This window comes from Homo sapiens, chromosome 4 (genome assembly GCF_000001405.40).
Source record: "Homo sapiens chromosome 4, GRCh38.p14 Primary Assembly".
NCBI lineage: Eukaryota > Metazoa > Chordata > Mammalia > Primates > Hominidae > Homo > Homo sapiens.
In genome coordinates this window covers 81,116,318-81,139,019 of record NC_000004.12, presented here as the reverse complement: position 1 = coordinate 81,139,019, position 22,702 = coordinate 81,116,318, and the positions used below count along the sequence as shown (strand labels likewise).

Genomic DNA, 22,702 nt, shown 5'->3' with positions numbered 1-22,702 from the left:
TGTAAAATATCCCTGCAATGACTAGAATTTATGCTTTTTGATCAAATGCTTTAAAAGACTCTTTCTCCCTATCCATCTTTCCAGACCCACTTTTTTCCCCAAGATCAACAAAGAAGTTTGAACCCAGGCAGTGCTGGCAATAGAGAGTCATCCAATTATCTTTATATTACGTTCCCAGAATGGATGCACTTTTAAAATTAATATTTTGTTAACAAGCTATGATGAGCAGCTTCAGGGCATGGATTAGATTGCATTCATTGTCTTATTTTCAACTCTTTCCAAAGTGCCTGGCATGTAGTCAGGCAATAATATGAAGAATAAATATTAATGACAACATTTATTGAGAAATTAACATACACCAGGTGCTGTTCTAAGCTATATCTATATGTATAGATAATCAACACATTTATCTCACTGGTCAATTAGAATAAAATGGATATTTTTTTTTCAATGAATATATATCAATAATATACATAATAATATGTAATCTGTATAGAGTAAAATGAATATATATGTTCATTGAGAAACAATGAGAAGACAGAAGTTGCATAGCTAATAAATGTCTGATCTGGATTCAAGCCTTGGCAGCTTGGTTCAGAGCCCACCCTTTGAACCACTTTACCTGATTGCTTCTTCTATCTGTGTATGATACGGCTGTTCTACTGTCTGCTTTGGTCTGGATGTGGTGCTAGGGAGAAAAGGGGGTCTCTTGATGATTAAGGCCCCAAAACTGCTTTTACACAAGGTTGAAATGTGATGCCCTGCCTACGTCCCGCTTCGGAACTGAGGCCCCCATTCCCCCAGCTTCAAGGAGTGTGGTTGTCAGCTGAGGACTAGCTCAGTCCCTCTCTGGGCATTGGTTTTTGTTTTTATTTGGTGAAGAGAACCACCTTGCTCAAGATCATACTCTCTCTTTGGGGACATGCATCCAACAACTGCAGAGCCTCTTGAAGCTGAGGCTTTTGTCGAAACTAAAACATAGCCCAATTCTACTTCCTCCCTTCCCCACAGGTGTTGTTTCCAATTGCACTCCCCACTAATCTGATTGCTTGCAAATTTCAGTCTCAGAGTCTATTTCCAGGGGAATCCAACATCAATTAACCAACTAGGGGATATAAGACATTGACATGAATAACTACTATGCAAGGCAAATCTTAAAGGTGACATATTCAGAGGTCTCTAAGGTTTTGGAAAAAGGAGAGGACATATTTGGTAGGTGGGATAATGAGATGTTTTGTTAAAAAGATGGCCTTGGAGGTTGGCCCTGAAGAATGGATAACATTTTTACGGTAAAACTGAGATTAAGAAGTTCAGTCTGTGGTTAGAGAAAGGCCAATCTAAGTGAGATCCACAGGAGCAGAAGCAAGGCAGTGGGGAAATCAAAGAGGATTTGGCGAGAAGCCCAGTGTAGTTGTGGGGTATTTATATGGAGATGAGTATCATTGTTCCTAATGTTATGATGATAGTTCTAAGCAACTTTAAAAAGGTTTTTAAACTAGATTTCCAATAATAACCATGTTTTTATCTGTCTTCACAGATTATATCGTACTTTCAAGGACAATAAGTATGTATACATGCTTCTGGAGGCCTGCTTAGGTGGGGAGCTCTGGAGTATATTAAGGGACAGGTAATGAAAAAGTTTGTATACTCACATCTGGCCTAAGGGCTATATTTATAATCATTAAAAAAGGCATAGAGGAAATCATTAGGAAATTATTATAACAAAATATCCCTTGATAAAATAAAGTAGTAATAGTGATATTGTCTTGGCTAATGCTACAATAGTGCCGTAACACCACGTAAGGTAGTTGTTGTCATCTCTGTTTTAGGAAGTAAAGAATCCCAGACTAGAGAGGAGGTGAACTATCCCAGGTTACATGACTAGTATAAAGCAGAGTCAGGGTAAAAACCCAGGTGTTTCTGATTCCAAATCTCCTAGCAGAAGCAGTGTGATAAACAAAGGTGGGGGTGGGGAGTGGGTAAGCCCTCACTGAAAAGCAGAGCAAGATGCCTGCGAAGATTCAGTTTTACACAAGGGGGTGATTTTTGCACAATTAAAATCATAGATATTTACTAAGCACCACCTATGTAAAAGGCTTCATAGTGCACGGTGGGGGTCAGGAGGAGACGCTCTAGACAGTGTGTACTTTTCTAACCAAAAGAGTAAAAAGTAGAAACTTTACCTCTAATGAGTTTAGAGTTTCCTTGGGAGATTAGGTATACAGTTTTAAAACATTTCATTGTTTAGTGAGAAAACTAAGTGATGACAAAGAAGTTGGAAATTTGTAGTTAAATGCCAAATAGTGTCGTAGATGGTGAGCTCCGAGGAGGGGAGAGAGAGAGAATGTGATGATAGAGGAAGGATTCGAATTAAACTCTAAACATGACCCAAATTTGGAAAGGCAGAGAGGCAGGGAAACTGCTTTAAGACAAAGCAGGGAAGTTGGGGTAGTATTATGTCTCTCTGTGGATGGTGAACAGAAGAATTTGGGTAGAAGTTAAGGGCAACAGAAGACATGAGAACGTGGGTTGGCGTTAGATTGTGGGAGTTGATGCAAGGCCACATATTTACAGTCAGACCTGTGCCAGTGTTTTTCAAAGTTGGCCACACATTGCATTCACGTGGAAAGCTTTTACAAAGTAAAAATGCTGGGCCCTAATGCCAGAGGTTATGATTCATTTAATCTGGGATGGGGTCCAGTAAACGATTTTTTAAATGCTTCTCAGGCAATTTTAATGTGCATTTATGGTTCAGAATCACTGACTTAGGCAAGGAAAGAACATTGAGCATCTGAGTAGAAGATGAATGTGTTGTATCATGAACATTTCATTGGACAGATTTGAATGGGGAGAACCTGGAAGGGTGAGGAGACTTTTGTGATACCTGCAAATGCATTAGCGTCTTCTATCTTTGCTTCAATAGGCAAATTTGTTGAGAAAATCTAAATCATTTTAGAAAAGGGAGTTACTGCTACCTGTTAGGCACTGTGCTTAATCCTGAAAATGCTTTTAAGTGAGTATCAAACCTTTTTTACTGATATGGATTCTGAGCCTCAGAACAGTTAAACAACTTTCTCAAGGATATAGTGAGTGAAAGAAACAGGAGTCAAACCCAGTTTCTGTCACTCCAAAGCCATGTTTCTCTGTGAGATCATGTGGCAAATCACCACTGCATTAAAAAAAAAAAATCCAGTCTGTAAAACTACACACAGTGCTGACAGAGGGGACTTTAATAAAAGATCAAGGGGCCCCAAACAGAAAAGACTTATGATTCCATTTTTACGGGGGTTACTCTGACGTGCTATGCAAACAGGAAATGAAAATAATCACTTGAGTCATTTTTAAGTCAAGCAATAAGTTGCAAAAGTCTGGTTCAAGCTCTCCACTATAGTAGCATTTTCTCCAGAGTTTGTGATGGGTGTCTAAAGAAAATCTTTGTTTTTGGATTTTTCTCTTTTACATGTCCATGTGTGATTACCAAAAACAGTTGTTGATATTTTAATTTTAGTGAAGTAGTTCTTGTTTGTATCACATATCTCCCTGAATTGCTTTATGATCTGCAAACAGCTTAATTCATGGGTAGTATAAAATACATTTTATTGTTGATACCCTGCAAAATATTTATATTGCATAAACCTGCCAATCCAATAATTGATTTGACACGTAGAACAGCACCAAAGATGTGTATCCAAAGTATTAAGAGGGAAAATGATTTCGTTGCAGAGGCAGCTTTGATGAACCCACCTCCAAATTCTGCGTTGCTTGTGTGACAGAAGCATTTGATTACCTGCATCGACTAGGTATTATCTACAGAGACTTGAAACCAGAAAACTTAATTCTAGATGCTGAGGGTTACCTTAAATTGGTAAGACAACTTTTCTCACTTACAGTCTCATATGAGATATTTCCCCTGGCAAAAGTTGTGTTCTAGTTGCAATTTTCTTTTTAATTTTAGTGCAGCTGTTATTCTCTCTTTGGCAGTATGGCCTTTGACATTTCCCGACAATACTGGGAGCAATGTTATGAGTACATTATTTTTGACCTAAGGATTTAATGTTTAACCATATTTGTGACTCCTACTGAAGGTTCACATAATAGAATGCCTTTAAAATTGGATTTTATCAGTATTTTTGTTTAATTTTTAATAATTTTAACTATTTTTAAATTGATTCTTGCTATACATAGGGAGTGGCTATAAGGAATAATAAAAGAAGATAATATGATTTCTACCCCAAGATATCCACTGTGTATATATAAAGAGAAGATAAACATAGAGACTTTAGTAGTTTTCTTGAAATATTTTGAGGTGATGATACTGGGGCCCCAGGGTTTAACATCACAATCCTAGAGTACAGGTTTCTTGAGGACACAGACTTTCCTGGCTGTCCATCTTTGTAATCTGCTGGTCCCTAATATGACTCCTTTGCATGCTACACTAAAGAAAAAATTACTATTAGTCACATAAACTGCTTTCAGTGAGAAGCTATAATAGACTGGACAGTCACAACTGAGGAGAAAGCAAGGCGCCTTGGGCCTCGGGAAGGAACCCCATTAGAATGGGGAACCCAAGCTTTTACCTGAGTCCATTTTTACTTCAAGGACGTTAAACCATTTCTGAACTTAACATTTACAAAGATATTAAAAGTTTCTCACTTCAGAATTTTTATAAAAGGAAATAAAAATAGCTCGCATTTAATGGGCAGTTACTATATTTAAAGCTACTATGCTAAACCTTTTACAATTAACCTATTTAACAATCTGTAAGATAGGTTAGATAGGTTTCATCACCCACATGTTATAGTTGTATAATTCAGCCACATGAATTAAATTTATTATGTGTAAATGCTAAGATATTTTTCTCTGTGGTAAAAGAGTAAAATAAAAGCCCTTTCATGTGAAATCTGGCTAACTTCCAAGAAACACTTTTAATCATTCAAGCTTTATTTTATCCATGAAAGATAGCTTTGAGAACTGGTGAGGTACTAACACAGGACCCCAATCACTTCTGTTCTTCACAATTCCTTCATTGGTTATGCCTCCTACATCTCTTTACAGAAACTCTTTGGAATATTGTAAAAGTAGAACCAACATGAGGGATGCAGACAATTCAGTAGCTCCATCTCTTTTTTCTCATAACTGATTTTTCTTAAAAAGCTATTTTTAAAAAAAAATAGCTATATATTTCACATGTATAGGCATAGAGATGCTTTTTTTTAAAAAAAACATATTTCACATGTGTAGGCATAGAGGTCAATAAATAACTGCTGTTATCCATTCTGCTAATTCATTTGCCAATCAGCTAAACAAAGAGTAAGAACTATAGCCTTCAGTGATTAAAAAGTGAATATTAAATATTTCAATTTCTAGCTATGAATTAAACTATGTACCTTGAAATCCTCTTACTACAAAATGTCTACTGGATGAAACATGAGAAGCAGTATTAAATATATGGCTGAGTTTATAAGACAACATGAGAATTCCTCTGGGGTTTGAAATCAAACTTGAGCAGCAGTATCTGGTGGAAATCACACATTGAAGCTGCCATCTTACATGCACCTAGCAATCCTAGGTGGTCTAGAGGTTTGATTTTAGTAGCTGTGCCCTCTGGGAACAGGAGACCAAGCGTTGGACTTATGTAGTGTGGGTAGGTGAATCAGAGAACATTGCATGAAACCAGGAATCACATACATTAAACTGCTGGAGAAATAGGAAACAAGAAAAAAATATCAAATTTGTAATGACAGATTACATGCAAAGAAACATGCTTTTCTCATTATTGGCTCTTGGTAGAGGAATAGAAACCTATCCCTAAGAATTCTTGGCCACAGGTTGGTCTTAGTGGAGGTTGGGTGCCCAGTCTTCAAGGATGGAAAAATCTAAGCAAGAATTTAAATGAAATGAATCTATGTTGGTGGCATGCCCAAGTTCCCAAGAATCAATGTATATTCTTTCTGGAAGAATATACTCTCAACTCAGGACACAAAGAACTACTGGATCTAAAGTTCTAGGGAACATAAGCCAGCATTAAAAAACATGAATGTATGAGGAAAAAAGCTACCATAGGCATTCATTTCCAGAAACAAAAAGAGCAGAAGCAGACACATAAGTGCCTCATTTATTGGAGTAATCAGATACAGACTATAAAATAAATACATCTAATATGTTTTAAAACTAAGAGAGGGTTAAAAAATGAGCAAGGATCAGAAACTCAAAAAAGATCTAACAGATATGGAAGGAAACTAACAAAGCATCTAATAAGAAATTAAGAGTATAATGATTGAAATTATATATGCAATGAAAGCTGTCATTAATGGCGGAGTAGCTTGCATTGGACTACCCTCTTGATAAGATTAATCATAATTGAAGGCATTGAAAAGAAACAAAGAGTAGATATTCAAGCTCTGTAAAAAGAAAACCGTGCTGGGTGAGATCCACATTAAAACAGCTGTAATACAGCTGTTCACTTCAGGACATTCTTCAGTGTATAAGGAATGGGGAATAAACCTCTAGTTAAAATTGTACCTCATGGTAAGGTAGTGAGCATTTTTTATCAGGTTGTGAACAGGACAAAAATATCTCCTCTTATCACTTGTATTTAACATTGTAATAGAGGTCTTAGCAAATTAGACTAAGAAAGATAAATGAAACCCCTAAATATTATAAAGGAAGAAGTTACCTATTTTTATTTGCAATGTGAATTTTTATTTAGAAAAGTCTGAAGACTCTACCAAAGAGGTACTTGAAACAAGAGGTAAGTATGATTATAGGTACAAAGTAATACACAAATATAAATTCTGCATTTATATACTAGCAATAAAAATTTATAAGTGAAACAAAATAATCTTCATAACACTAACAATTATAAAATAATTTTGAGTAAATTTCATATGTAAAAAGTATGAGACCTTTACATTAAAACCCACAAAATATCACTGAAAAAAAACCTAAATGGCAAGATATACTATATTCATGGATTAGATAATTCAATATTTGATAAGCTACTCTCTAAGATTCAATATTACTGCATTAAAAATTTGAGCAGCCATTTTTTTAGAAATGGAGATGTTTATTCTAAAATTTACATAGAAATGCAAAATGATTAGAAGGGTCGATAAACACTTTGAAAAAGAACAAAATTAAAGAATGTGTACTATCAATATCAAGACAATAAAGCTACAGTAATCAAGGCAGTATGATATGGGTATAGGAAAAGACAAATAACTCAGTCTAATAGAATAAAGTCCAGAAATAAACATGTACAGTCAGCAAAAGAATCTTTTCAAAAAACATTGCTGAAACAACTGGATATCCATATGTGGAAAAAAATTAACCTAAATCCCACCACAAACCATATACAAAAATTAATTCTAGATGAATCCTAGACCTGTAAATCACCTAGACGTAAACATAGGGTAATATTTTCACAATTTGAGGTGGGCCAATATTTCTTAGAATACAAATATTTGCAATATATATTTACATTACAAAAGGCTTGTATCTAGAATATGTAAAGAACTCCTACAAATCACTAATAAAAAGACAAATCAATTTTTTAAAATGGTCAGCATCTTAAAAAACCACTTCATGGTGGCTGGCAAGATGGCCAAATAGGAACAGCTCTGGTCTGCAGCTCACAGCGAGATCAATGCAGAAGGCAGGTGATTTCTGCATTTCTAACTGAGATACCCAGCTTATCTCATTAGGACTGGTTAGACAGTGGGTGAGCTGAAGCAGGGTGGAATGTCACCTCACCTGGGAACCACAAGGGGTTGGGGAACTCCCTCCCCTAGCCAAGGGAAGCCATGAGGGACTGTGCTGTGAGGAATGGTGAATTCCGGCCCCAGATACTAAGCTTTTCCCATGGTCCTTGCAACCCACAGACCAGGAGATTCCCTCGGGTGCCTACATCATCAGGGCCCTGGGTTTCAAACACAAAACTGGGTGGCCGTTTGGGCAGACACTGAGCTAGCTGCAGAAGTTTTTTTCTCATACCCCAGTGGCACTTGGAATGCAAGTGAGACAGAACCATTCATTCCCCTGGAAAGGGGGCTGAAGCCAGGGAGCCAAGTGGTCTAGCTCAGTGGATCCCACCCCCATGGGGACAAGCAAGCTAAGATTCACTGGTTTGAAATTCTCCCTGCCAGCACAGCAGTCTGAAGTCGACCTGGGATGCTCGAGCTTGGTGGGGGGAGGGGCATCAACTATTACCGAGGCTTGAGTAGGCAGTTTTACCCTTACAGTGTAAACAAAGCCGCGGGGAAGTTGGTGGAGGCTGCTGCAGCTCAGCAAAACCACCGTAGCCAGACTGCCTCTCTAGATTCCTCCATTTTGGACAGGGCATCTGTGAAAGAAAGGCAGCAGTCCCACTCAGGGGCTCATAGATAAAACTACTCTATCCCTGGGAGAGAGCACCTGGGGGAAGGCGTGGCTGTGGGTGCAGCTTCAGCAGGCTTAAACATTCCTGCCTGCCAGCTCTGAAGAGAGGAGGGGATCTCCCAGAACAGAGCTCGAGCTCTGCTAAGGGACAGACTGCCTCCTCAAGTGGGTCCCTGACCCTTGTTCCTCCTGCCGGGGAGACACCTCCCAGCAGGTATCAACAGATATCTCATACAGGAGAGCTCCAGCTGGCATCTGGCAGGTGCCCCTCTGGGATGAAGCTTCCAGAGGAAGGAAAAGGCAGCAATCTTTGCTGTTCTGCAGCCTCACCTGGTAATACAAAGGCATACGGGGTCTGGAGTGAACCTCCAGCAGACCTGCAACAGAGGGGCCTGACTGTTAGAAGGAAAACTAACAAACAGAAAGGAATAGCATCAACATCAACAAAAAGGACTTCCACCCAAAAACCCCATCTGAAGGTCACCAACATCTAATACCAAAGGTAGATAAATCCATGTAAGTGAGGAAAAAACAGCACAAAAAGGCTGAAAATTCCCAAAACGAGGAAAAATAAAATCCTTTACAGAGAAGCAAATGCCGAAAGATTTTGTCACTACGAGGACTGCCTTACAAGAACTTCTGAAGGAAGCACTAAATATGGGAAGGAAAAACTGGTACCAGCCACTGCAAAAACATTGCAAATTGTAAAGAACATCGACACTATGAAGAAACCGCATCAACTAATGGGCAAAATAAGCAGCTATCATCATAATGACAGGATCAAATTCACACATAATAATATTAACCTTAAGTGTAAACAAGCTAAATGCCCCAATTAAAAGACACAGAGTGGCAAATTGGATAGAGTCAAGATGCATCGGTGTGCTGTTTTCAGGAGAACCGTCTCATGTGCAAAGACACACATAGGCTCAAAATGCAGGGATGGAGGAATATTTACCAAGCAAATGGAAAGCAAAAGAATTCAGGGGTTGCAATCCTAGTCTCTGATAAAACAAACTTTAAACCAACAAAGATAAAAAAAGACAAAGAAGGGCATTACATAGTGGTAAAGGGATCAATGCAACCAGAAGAGCTAACTATCCTGAATATGTATGCACCCAATACAGGAGAACCCAGATTCATAAAGCAAGTTCTTACAGACCTACAAAGAGACTTAGATTCCTACACAATAATAGTGGGAGACATTAACACTCCACTGTCAACATTAGACAGATCAATGGACAGAAAATTAACAGGAATTTTAAATATTCCTGGAATATTTAATATTCAGGAATTGCTGTCAGCTCTGGACCAAGCAGACCTAGTAGCTGTCTACAGAACTCTCCACTGCAAGTCAACAGAATATTTATTCTTCTCAGCACCACATCACACTTATTCTAAAATCGACCACATAATTGGAAATAAAACACTCCTCAGCAAATGCAAAAGAACGGAAATCCTAAGTCTCTCAGACAACAGGGCAATCAAATTAGAACTCAGGATTAAGAAACTCACTCAAAACTGCACAACTACATGGCAACTGAACAACCTGCTCCTGAATGACTACTGGGTAAATAACAAAATTAAGGCAGAAATAAATAAGCTGTTTGAAACCAATGAGAACAAAGACACAACATACCAGAATTTCTGGGACACAGCTAAAGAGGGAAATTTATAGCACTAAATGCCCACAGGAGAAAGTGGGAAAGATCTAAAATCAACACCCTAACATCACAATTAAAAGAACTAGAGAAGCAAGAGCAAACAAATTCAAAAGCTAGTAGAAAACAAGAAATAACTAAGATCAGAACAGAACTGAAGAAGATAGAGACATGAAAAACCCTTCAAAAAATCAATGAATCTAGGAGCTGGTTTCTTGAAAAGATTTACAAAATAGACCACTAGCCAGACTAATAAAGAAGAAAAGAGAGAAGAATCCAATAGACACAGTAAAAAATGATAAAGGGGATATCACCCCTGATCCCACAGAAATACAAACTACCATCAGAGAATGCTATAAACACTTCTACGCAAATAAACTAGAAAATCTAGCAGTGGATAAATTATTGGACACATACACCCTCCCAAGGCTAAACCGGGAAGAAGTCGAATCCCTGAATAGATGAATAACAAGTTCTGAAATTGAGGCAGTAATTAATAGCCTACCAACAAAAAAAAGCCCAAGACCAGATGGATTCACAGCCGAATTCTAACAGAGGTACAAAGAGGAGCTGGTACCACTCCTTCTGAAACTATTCCAAACAATAGAAAAAGAGGAACTCCTCCCTAACTCATTTTATGAGGCCAGCATCATCCTGATACCAAAGTCTAGCAGAGACACAACAAAAACAGAAAATTTCAGGCTAATATCCCTGATGAACATCGATGTGAAAATCTTCAATAAGGTACTGGCAAACCGAATCCAGCAGCACATAAAAAAGTTTATCCACCACGATCAAGTCAGCTTCATCCCTGGGATGCAAGGCTGGCTCAACATATGCAAATAAATAAATGTAATTCATTAGATAAAGAGAATGAATGACAAAAACCACATGATTATCTCAATAGATGCAGAAAAGGCCTTTGATAAAATTCAACACCCCTTTATGCTAAAAACTCTCAATAAACTAGGCATTAATGGAACGTATCTCAAAATAATAACAGCTATTTATGACAAACCCACAGCCTATATCATACTGAATGGACAAAAGCTGGAAGCATTCCCTTTGAAAACCAGCAGAAGACAAGGATGCCTTCTGTCACCACTCCTATTCAACATAGTATTGGAAGTTCTGGCCAGGGCAATCAGCCAAGAGAAAGAAATAAAGCATATTCAAATAGGAAGAAAGGAAGTCAAATTGTCTCTGTTTGCAGATGACATGATTGTATATTTAGAAAACCCCATCATCTCAGCCCAAAATCTCCTAAAGCTGATAAGCAACTTCAGCAAAGTCTCAGGATACAAAATCTATGTGTCAAAATTAGAAGCATTCTTATACACCAGTAATACACAGAGAGCTGAATCATGAGTGAACTCCTTTTCACAATTGCTACAAAGAGAATAAAAAACCTAGGAATACAACTTACAAGGGATGTGAAGGACCTCTTCAAGGAGGACTACAAACCACTGCTCAAGGAAATAAGAGAGGACACAAACGAATAGAAAAACATTCCATGCTCATGGATAGGAAGAATCATTTATAGATTCAATGCTATCCCCATCAAGCTACCACTGACTTTCTTCACAGAATTAGAAAAAATTACTTTAAAGTTCATATGGAACCAAAAAAGAGCCTGTATAGCCAAGACATTTCTAATCAAAAAGAACAAAGCTGGAGGCATCATGCTACCTGACTTCAAACTATTCTGCAAGACTGCAGTAACCAAAACAGCATGGTACTGGTCCCAAAACAGATATATAGACCAATGGAAATGAACAGAGGCCTCAGAAATAATGCCACACGTCTACAACCATCTGATCTTTGACAAACCTGACAAAAACAAGCAATGGGGAAAGGATTCCCTAATCAATAAATGGTGTCGGGAAAAACTGGCTAGTCATATGCAGAAAACTGAAACTGGACCCCTTCCTTACATCTTATACAAAAATTAACTCAAGATAAAGACTTAAATGTAAGGCCTAAAACCATAAAAACCCTAGAAGGAAACCTAGGCGGTACCATTCAGGGCATAGGCATGGGCAAAGACTTTGTGACTAAAACACCAAAAGCAATGGCAACCAAAGCCAAAATTGACAAATGGGATCTAATTTAACTAAGGAGCTTCTGCACAGCAAAACAAACTGTCATCAGAGTGAACAGGCAACCTACAGAATGGGAGAAAATTTTTGCAATCTACCCATCTGACAAAGGGCTAATATCCAGAATCTACAAGAAACTTAAAAAAATTTACAAGAAAAAAAAACCATCAAAAAGTGGGCAAAGGAGAGGAACAGACGCTTCTCAAAAGAAGACATTTATGTGTGCAAAAAACATATGAAAGAAAGCTCATCATCACTGGTCATTAGGGAAATGCAAATCAAAACCACAATGAGATACCAGCTCACGCCAGTTAGAAGGGCAATCATTAAGAAGTCTGGAAATAACAGATGATGGAGAGAATATGGAGAAATAGGGATGCTTTTACACTGTTGATGGGAGTGTAAATTAGTTCAACCATTGTGGAAGACAGTATGGCGATTCCTCAAGGATCTAGAACCAGAAATACTATTTGACCCAGCAATCCCATTACTGGGTATATACCCAAAGTATTATAAATCGTTCTACTATAAAGACACATGCACATGTATGTTTATTGCAGCAGTATTCACAATAGCAAGGGTTGGAACCAATTCAAATGCCCATCAGTGATAGACTAGATAAAGAAAATGTGGCACATATACACCATGGAATACTATGCAGCCATAAAAATGGATGAGTTCATGTCTTTTGCAGGGACATGGATGAAGCTGGAAACCGTCATTCTCAGCAAATTAACACAGGAACAGAAAACCAAACACTGCATGTTCTCCCTCTAAGTGGGAGTAGAACGATGAGAGCACATGGACCCAGGGAGGGGAACATCACACACCGGGGCCTGTTGGCGGCTGGGGGGTCTGGGAGAGGGATAGCATTAGGAGAAATACCTAATGTAGATGACAGGTTGATGGGTGCAGCAAACTACCATGGCACGTGTATACCTATGTAACAAACTTGCACATTCTGCACATGTATCCCAGAACTTAAAGTGTATCTATTAAAAAAAACACTTCACAAAAGAAAATATAGAAATCGTCAGTAAGTCACGTCAGTAGGCATCAAGGAAATGCAGATTAAAACCACAGATTTACCATTTCATACCTACTTAAAAAGATTTATAATACCAAGTTTTAGTGAGGCTGTTCCCCTACATTTCTAGTAGAAAAAGAAATTTGTAAACCATTTCAAAGAATAGCTAGTCAGTTTTTCATTGAGTCAAACGTATACCTATTCCGTGACAAGAAATTCCACTTTTTTGGTATTTACCCAGGTAAACTGAAATCATGTCTTCAAATATCTTGGCCACAAATTTTATAACAACTTTATTCCTAATAGCCCCCAAATTCGAAACAGCCAAAATACCCATCATCAACTGAATGTATAAACATATAGTAGTCTACTCAGCAATGGAATGCTGCTCACCAATAAAAAGGAACAACATGAATGCATTTTTTAAACTGACAATCAAAGGAAGCCACACACAGAAGAGTATCTTCTGCATGATTCCTTGTATCAAAGTTCTGGAACAGGTGGCAGACATAAATACAATGGTCGTCTCTGAGAAAAACATTTGACTGGAAAGGAGCTTGAGGGAATTTTTTGAAATAACGGGAATGCCTCTATCTTGACAGTATAGTGGTTGCAGCTACATCAGTATAATATGCACTAAAATTCAATGAACTGTACACCAAAAATATATGGATTTTATTTCTTATAAATCAATTTAAAAAATTGTAGCATAAAGGTTAAATAGCATATGATTGACCCAACAAAGAAAAAAATCTGTGAACTGAAAGATACATTTAAGTAATTTACATAGAATAGAGACATAAAAACATGGAACATAAGAAAGAGAAATGAAAAGAGTTGGAGAATAGAGTGGAGTCGTAGACAAAAATCATATAGAGAATGTGGGAAAAGCAATATTTAAGAAATAGAAACTAAAAAATTTCCAGAAATTAAAAATGACACCAATCATCAGGTAAAGGGACCCCCACAATTCTAAACTGGGATAAACAAAGTTCCCATTTTACATAACAAACCACTCCAAAATATAATGGCTTAAAACAACAATAATCATTTATGATCTCAGGTTTCTGTGGGTCAGGAATTTGGAAGTGATTTTGCTTGAGGTCTCTCGGGAAGTTACAGTCAGATGGTGTCGGGGGCTGCAGTCACCTGGAGGCTCAGAGACCCATTAGACTAGAGGAACCGAATCCAAGGTGACTCCCTCATGTGCTGCAAGCTGATGCTGGCTGTTAGTTGGGTGCCTTAATTCTTCTCCAGGTGGGCCTCTTCCTGGGACTGATTGAATAACTCATGGCAGCTGGCTTCCCTCTGGGTGGGTCATCCAAAAGACAATGAAAAAGCTACAAAGCTTTTGGAAGACCTGCTCTTGAAAGTCACACACTAGCACTTGCAGTGTATTCTGTTGGCTACACAGGGCCTGCTCTAATTCATTGTGGGATGAGACGCTTCAGAATAGCAAAAGGATATCACAGATGTTTGCTATTGTAGTAGTGAAAGTACAAAACAAAAACAAACATAAAGTCTTAAGAGTTATCCCAAGGAGAAAAGATAGTTTATATATAAAGGAATAAAAATTAAGCTTTCAGCTGACACCTCAACAGCAACAATAGAAGCTAGAATGCAGTAGAATTTAAAGTTCTGAAAAAAAGTAAATGAAAAACTCCATGTCCAGGGAAACTGTCTTTCAGAAAGGGTGAAAGAAAGACATTTTCAGACAAAGATAAAGGGTGTTTACTTCTACATACAAAGGATATGCTTAAGAGAGAAGAAAAATGATCCCTGATGAAGGATCTGATATGCCACAAGGAGTGGTGACCACAAAGAAATGGTAAACATGTTACCATGTTAAAAAATTATGGCATAAAGTAATAATTATTCCAATAGATAATATTAAAATGTAAAAAAGGTGAAATAACTGAACAACAGTAGCATGCAAACTGAGAGTGGGTATAATGGGAATTAAAATAGAAGGATCAAATTCTTTTTTTGAGAAAATGTTATTTTAAAAGAAGGCCGCAAAGGAAACAGAAAATCCAAAAATAATCAAAGAGAAAGCATAAATTAAGGAAACAGAAAAGAGATCCAGTATATGTAAATGGACTTAACTCTTCAGGCAAAAAACTATTGTCAAATACATTTAAAAAATAAAAATTGGCCAGGTGCAATGGCTCAAGCCTGTAATCCCAGCAGTTTGGGAGGCTGAGGCGAGCGGATCATGAGGTCAGGAGATCGAGACCATCCTGTCTAACATGGTGAAACCCCATCTCTACTAAAAATACAAAAAATTAGCCAGGCATGGTGGCAGGCACCTGTAGTCCCAGCTCCTTGGGAGGCTGAGGCAGGAGAATGGCGTGAACCTGGGAGGCAGAGCTTACAGTGAGCCGAGATCGTGCCACTGCACTCCAGCCTGGGCAACAGAGCAAGACTCTGTCTCAAAACAAACAAACAAACAAACAAAAATCACCTATGTGATGTTTACAGGAGATATGCTTAAAATATGAGGATGCACAAAGGTTAGAATTAAAAGGGTGGAATTCCTAGAGATAAATGGGGTTACCACATGATCATGAAAGGCCAATTTCACCAAAGTGATATGAAAATCCTAATATTCTATTTACCTAATAAAATTCTTCAAAAATAAAAATAATAGGAATTTGGCAGATAAGGACATATGAGCAATTGCAGAAATTTTAATATATGTTCCTCAGGAACTGGTAGAACATTTAGATCCAAAATCACTAAAGCTTTAGAAGATGTATAAAACACAAATAATACACTTCATCTAATGGGCTTGTAGAATATTGTTCCCAATAGGTGGAGAATACACATTAACAAAATTTGATCATATACTGGGACATTAAGCAAGTTTCATCAAGTAGCAAAAATGGGAACTGATTGGGCTGGCAGCCCAGCCAGAGCTGTTTTAGCTGAGGCTTCTGAGCGGACTGCAGTGGGATGGAGTCTGGAAAGGGTGGCCTAGGGTGGGGTGCGCCCTGTGGCAGTACAACAGGACTTCCATCTGGGTGATGGACACTGTGGGCAGTCCAGTTTTGGACACAATGTCTTATAAGAATGACTTTGGTCTCATTCTGCAAATTCCTATAAGTGGCATTTTCATCCTCCTTCATCAATTCTTGGCAATATCTATGAGGGGTCAGATACCTAAGGGAGGCAAGTAAGGGAAAGTTTGCTGGTCTGTTTGTTTTTTCAGCAGAGGAAAACCAGGGAAAGCCCAGGAAAAAAAAGGCCTAAATAAGAGGAGAAAAGTCTGGGTTTGGAAGTGTGTCTTTGGAGTCTGTAATGGTGTGTCCTTTCTTAATAATTATAGATGATGAGTTTGTGGTGAGGGATTAAGACCTCATTCTACTCTTATTCCTTAGTCATGATTGAGATTGTCAGCCTGATTTTTTCCAAAATGAATCTCACCTGGGTTCGAGCTGTTTTTATCAGAAATCACACTGAGTGGAGATTAAAGAACTAAAGGATCATGGAAACTCTCACATCATTATATCTTTCCTGCCCATCCCAGAGTTTCCTATATCTTACTGCACTTTTCAGGCCAAGAAGAGCTGATGAAGGTTAAGAACCTTTCTTCTGGTTGTAGTGAATGAATCAATAACAATATTAAGATTATGACAATACTTAAAGAATTTAAAAGAAAGCCCACTTTGTTCTCAACCTATGCAGCATTTATATAATAGCTAGCCTTTTTTGCAATTCTTCAGGAGAAAACTTGGTTTTACTCTAACAAATAATAATCCAATAAATCTCAGCTGCTGCTCATCAATAAATGTCCTATATGAATGTATTAACTCATGTGAGTAATGCACCTCAGCTAAAATTCAGAGCCTGCCCACATGCTTTTGCACAGGATGTGTTAACAGAGCAACTTAATCTTACTTATATTGAGTATAAGAAAATATAATACAAGACATATTAAACGTTGATATTATTGCCTGTCATCTATCTGCCTGTCTATACTGATAGCCCTATAATGGCAAACTATGCTAGGGTGTTTACTGTTGAACTTAGCATGTTGCTTAGCATATAAGAATGAATGAAACCAAAAGTTATTTGAAAAGATCAATAAAATCAATGTCTCTATCCAGATTAACTAAGAAAAAAAAAGAGTGAAAGAGTGAAGATATAAATTACTAATATCAGAAATGAAAGAGGGCACATGAATTCCATATATTTCATGGATATGGATTCTACATATTCCATGGATATTAAGTTAATAATAAAAGAATACTGTGAACTGTGAAGAGCTCTGTGTCTACAAATTTGATAATCTAGATGAAATGGACTAATTCCTTGAAAGACACAATCTGTCAAAAGTCACACAAGAGGAATAGGCAATCTGAATAGGCCTATATCTATTAAAGAAGTTAAATCAATAATTAATAACCTTCTAGAGCACAAAGAACCAGGCTTAGATGGGTTTATTGGTGAATTCCAGTCAACATTTACATAAGAAATTATACTGATTCTCTACCATGTCTTTCAGAAGATAAAGCAGAAGGAATACTCCATAACTGATTTTATGAGGCCATTATTACTCTAATACCAAAAGCAGACATAGACATTCCAGGAAAAAAAATAAAAAACTACAGACCAATATCTCCCATGAATATAGATGCAGAAGCTCCCAGCAAAATATTGGCAAACAGAATCCAACAATGTATACAAAGGATTATATACCACAACCAAGTAAAATTTATTCCAGGTATTCAAGACTGGTTCAATATTTGAAAATCAATGAATATAATCCATTACACCAGCAGGCTGAAAAAAAAGCATTATATTATCATATCAATAAATGCAGAAAAGCCATTTGACAAAGTCAAATACTCATCCATGATAAAAACTCTCAGTAAACTAGGAACAGAGGAGAACTTTCTCGACATGATAAAGAATATCTACAAAAAGCCTACAGCTCACATCATACTTAATGGTGAGAAACCAGAAACTTTTCCACTAAGATCAGGAATAAGGCAAAGATGTCTTCTCTTACCACTCCTTTTCAATATCACACTGGAAGTCCTAGTTAATGCAGCAAGACAAGGAAATACAGGGCATATGGATTTGGAAGAAAGAAATAAAAGTCTTTGCTCACAAATGATATGATTATCTATGTAGAAAATCTTAAAGAATCAACAACAACAACAAATTTCATGGAACTAAAAAGCACTTACAGCAAGGTTGCAGGATACAAGGCTAACATGCAAAAATCAATCACTTTCCTATATACTAGCAATGAACAAGTAGAATTTGAAGTTAAAAACACTATACCATTTGCATTAGTACTCACAAAAATGAAATAGGTTTAAATATAACAAAATATATGTAAGATCTATGAGGAAAACTACAAAATTTTGATGAAAGAAATGAAAAAAAACTAAAATGGAGAGTATTCCATGTTCATCGATTGAAAGACTCAGTATTGTTCAAAGAAAAACTTCAGCTGAATTAAATGTAAAGGAATTTAACTGATCAATGAGTGATTCATGAATTGGGCAGCCCCAGAATCACAGCAGATTCAGGGAGACTCCCGGGGTGCCTCATGGTCAGAACAAATGTACAGACAAAAAAAGGGAAGTGACGTACAGAAATCGGAAGGTGTAGAAACAGCTGGATTGGTTACAGGTCTTCCTTATTTGAACACAGTTTGAACATTCAGCAGCGTATGAGTAGTTGAAGTATGGCTTCTGGGATTGACTAAGACTCAGCTGTTGTTACAAGTGCATACTCCTAAGTTAGGTTTTCAATCTTGTCTACCTACTAGGTTAGGTTGCAGTTCATCCACAAGGACTCAAATATAGAAATATGGAGTCCTTCTCAGGCCATATTTAGTTCTCTTTAACAGTATCCGTAAGATATCAGTTCTTCCCAACTTGATCTATAAATTCAATTCAATTTGTTTGGGAGGCTGAGGTGGGCGGATCACAAGGTCAGGAGATCAAGACCATCCTGGCTAACACAGTGAAACGCCGTCTCTACTAAAAATACAAAAAATTAGCCGGGCATGGTGGCGGGTGCCTGTAGCCCCAGCTACTCGGGAGGCTGAGGCAGGAGAATGGTGTGAACCCGGGAGGTGGAGCTTGCAGTGAGCCGAGATCTCACCACTGCACTCCAGCCTGGGCAACAGAGCAAGACTCCGCCTAAAAAAAAAAAAAAATTCAATTCAGTTTCAATCAAAATCTCAGCAGGTTATTTTGTGTACAGTGAGAAACTCATTCTAAAATTTATATATGGAGGCAAGAGACCCAGAATAGCCAATGTAACATTGAAGGAAAACAAAGTTGGAGGACTGACACTTCCCAATGTCAAGACATACTATAAAGCTACCATACTGAAGACAGTGTGGAATTGACAAAAGGAAAGACAAATAGATCAATGGAACAAAATATAGAGCCCAGAAATAGATCCATGTAAACATAGTCAATTGATGTTTGACAAATAAGCAAAGCAATACATGGAGCAAAGATAGTCTTTTCAGCAAATACTGCTGGAACAATGCGACATCCAGACGCTAAAAAGTAAATCTAGATACAGACCATGTACCCTTCATGAAAATTAACTCAAAATGGATCAAAGACCTAAATGTATAATGCAAAACAATAAAACTCCTAGAAGATAACATAGGAGGAAATCTAGAGGACTATGAATATGGCAATGACTTTTTAGATACAACACCAAAGGCAAGATCCATGAGAGAAATAATTGATAAACTGGACTTCATTAAAATTAAAAGCTTCTTGACTGGGCCCAGTGGCACATATCTGTAATCCTAGCACTTTGAGAAGCCAAGTTAGGTGGATCACTTGAGCTCAGGAGTTTGAGAGCAGCCTGACCAACATGGTGAAACCTCATCTCTACAAAAAACACAAAAAAATTAGCTGGGCGTGGTGGCTCACACCTGCAGTCCCAGCTACTTGGGAGCCTGAGGTGGGAGGATTGCCTGAGACCAGGAGGTTGCGGCTGCATTGAGCAGAGATCATGCCACTGCACTCCAGCCTGGGTGACAGAGTGAGACCCTGTCTCAAAACAAACAAACAAACAAACAAACCAAACGAAAACTTCTGCTCTGTGAAAGACTGTTAAGAGAATTAGAAGACAAGCCACTGACTGGGAGAAAATATTTGTAAAAAACATACTTGATAAAGGATTATTATAAAAATATATAAAATGCTTTAAACCATAAGAAAACAAACAACTTGATTAAATAATGGGCAAAAGACCTGAAGAGACACCTCACCACAGAAGATATACAGATCTCAAATAAGCATATGAAAGATGTTCAAAATCATGAGTCTTTCGGGAATTGCAAATCAAAGCAATGAGATACCACTACACACCTATTAGAGTGGCTAAATTCTAGAACAATGGCAACACCAAACGCTGATAGGAATGCAAATGGTTCAGCCACTTTGACAGGCAGTTTGGAAGTTTCTTGCATAACGACTCATACCTTTACCATATGATCCAACAATCACGTTTCTTGATATTCATGGAAAGCAGTTGAAAACTTCTGTTTACACAAAAAACTATACACAGAAGTTTATAGCAGCTTTAGTCATAACTGCCAAAACTTGGAAGCAGCCACAGTATCCGTCAGTAGGTGAATGGGTAAACAGTGCTAAATCCAGACAATGGAGTATTTTTCAGTGCTAAAAAGAAATGAGTTATCAAGCCGCGAAAAGATGCGAAAAAACAAAATGCATATTATTAAGTGAAAAAAGCCAATCCACAAAGCTTACATACTTCATTATTCCAACTAAATGACATTTTGTAAAAGGCAAAACTATTGGAGACAGCAAAAAGATTAGTGGTTGGTGGGGTTTGGGGCAGGGGAGTAGAAATGAATAGGCAGGACACAGAGGATTTTTAGGGCAGTGAAAATACTCTGTATGATACTGCAGCGGTGGATACCTGTCCATATACATGTGTCCAAATCCATAAAATATGCATCACTAAGAGTGAATCTTTATGTAACAGGTGGACTTTGGGTGTTCATGATGTATCAATATAGGTTCCTTGATTGTAACAAGTGCTTCTCTCTGGCGAGGGATGTTGATAATGGGGAAAGCTATTTATATATGGGAGCAGGAATTATATAGGAAATCTCTGTGTCATTCCTTTCAGTTTCACTGATTGCTCTAAAAAAGTGAAGTCTTAAAAATTTTACTAAATCGCCACTTTACCAGATTAAATGAGAAAAACATTATATAACTACCTTAATAGACGCTGAGAGAATTTTAACGTATTTCTACATTCAGTGCTTAGTTTGCTAAGATATTTTATCTTAGTGTATTAATAAGAAAAAAATTTTATTAACCTAATGAATGATACCTTAGAAAATTTAGGGCAAACACTGTACATAATTATGAGACATTGGAAGTATACCACTAACTCTCAAAAGTCAGTGGTATAAGTACTTCTATTTGGTATTTTACAGGAGGTCCCAATGCAGAAAACTATGAATAAAATTAAAAGATGGATTGAAAAGTGAACAATAAAACCTTCCAGGTGATATGATTAAATCTATGGAAATCCCAAATGTAACAAGAGGCCAGGCACAGTGCCCGTAATCCCAGCGCTTTGGGACACCCGAGGAGGGAGGATTGCTTGAGTTCAGGAGTTCAAGATCAGCCTGGGCAACATGGTGAAACCCCGTCTCTACAAAAAATATAAAAATTAGCTGGGTGTGGTTGTTCACGCTTGTAGTTTTGCCTACTTGGGAGGCTGAGATGGGAGGATTGCTTTAGCCCAGGAGGTTGAGGCTGCAGTGAGCCAAGATCATGCCACTGCACTCCAGCCTGGGTGACTGAGTGAGACCCTGTCTCAAAAAAAAAAAAAAAAAAAAAAAAAGTAACAACAGGGTAAATAGATAACCTACAGATGGGAGAAAATTTTTGCAAACTAGGCATCTGACACAAGTCTAACATCCAGGATCTATAAGAAACTTAAACAAATTGACAAGAAGAAAAGCAATCCCATTTAAAAATTGGCAAGGGACATGAACAGACACGTCTCAAAGAAGACATACATGTGGCCAACAAGCATATGAAAAAAATGCTCAACATCACTAATCATGGGAGAAGTGCAAATAAAAACCACAGTGAGATACTATCTCACACCAGTCATAATGGCTAACATTACAAAATCAAAAAATAACATACTGGCAGGGTTGCAGAGAAAAGAGAACACTTACACTGCTGAGGGGATTGTAAATTAGTTCAGCTATTGTGGAAAGCAGTGTGGCAATTTCTTAAAGAACTTAAAATTACCATGCAACCCAACAGTCTCATTATTGGGTATATACCCAAAGGTATATAAATCATTCTACCATAAAGACACATGCACACATATGTTCATTACAGCACTATTCCCAAGAGCAAAAACATGGAATCAACCTAAATCCCCAACAACAGTAAAGAAAATGTTGTACATATATAACATGGAATACTACACAAACATAAAAAGTAATGAAATCATGTACTTCGCAGCAACATGGTTGGAGCTGGAGGGCATTATTC

At 37.6% G+C, this 22,702-nt stretch overlaps 1 protein-coding gene across 10 annotated transcripts in view; it reads left to right on the top strand.

The window, feature by feature from the left end:
• The window catches only part of PRKG2 (protein kinase cGMP-dependent 2), a 130,467-nt gene that overhangs the window by 78,817 nt on the left and 28,948 nt on the right, over nucleotides 1-22,702 (top strand). For all 10 annotated transcript variants that reach the window (XM_017008415.2, XM_017008416.2, XM_047415963.1 and 7 more), the window contains 2 exons: nucleotides 1,538-1,627; nucleotides 3,724-3,865. In XM_017008415.2, coding sequence (XP_016863904.2) covers nucleotides 1,538-1,627; nucleotides 3,724-3,865 — 232 coding nt within the window. The remainder of the gene's footprint in view (nucleotides 1-1,537; nucleotides 1,628-3,723; nucleotides 3,866-22,702) is intronic.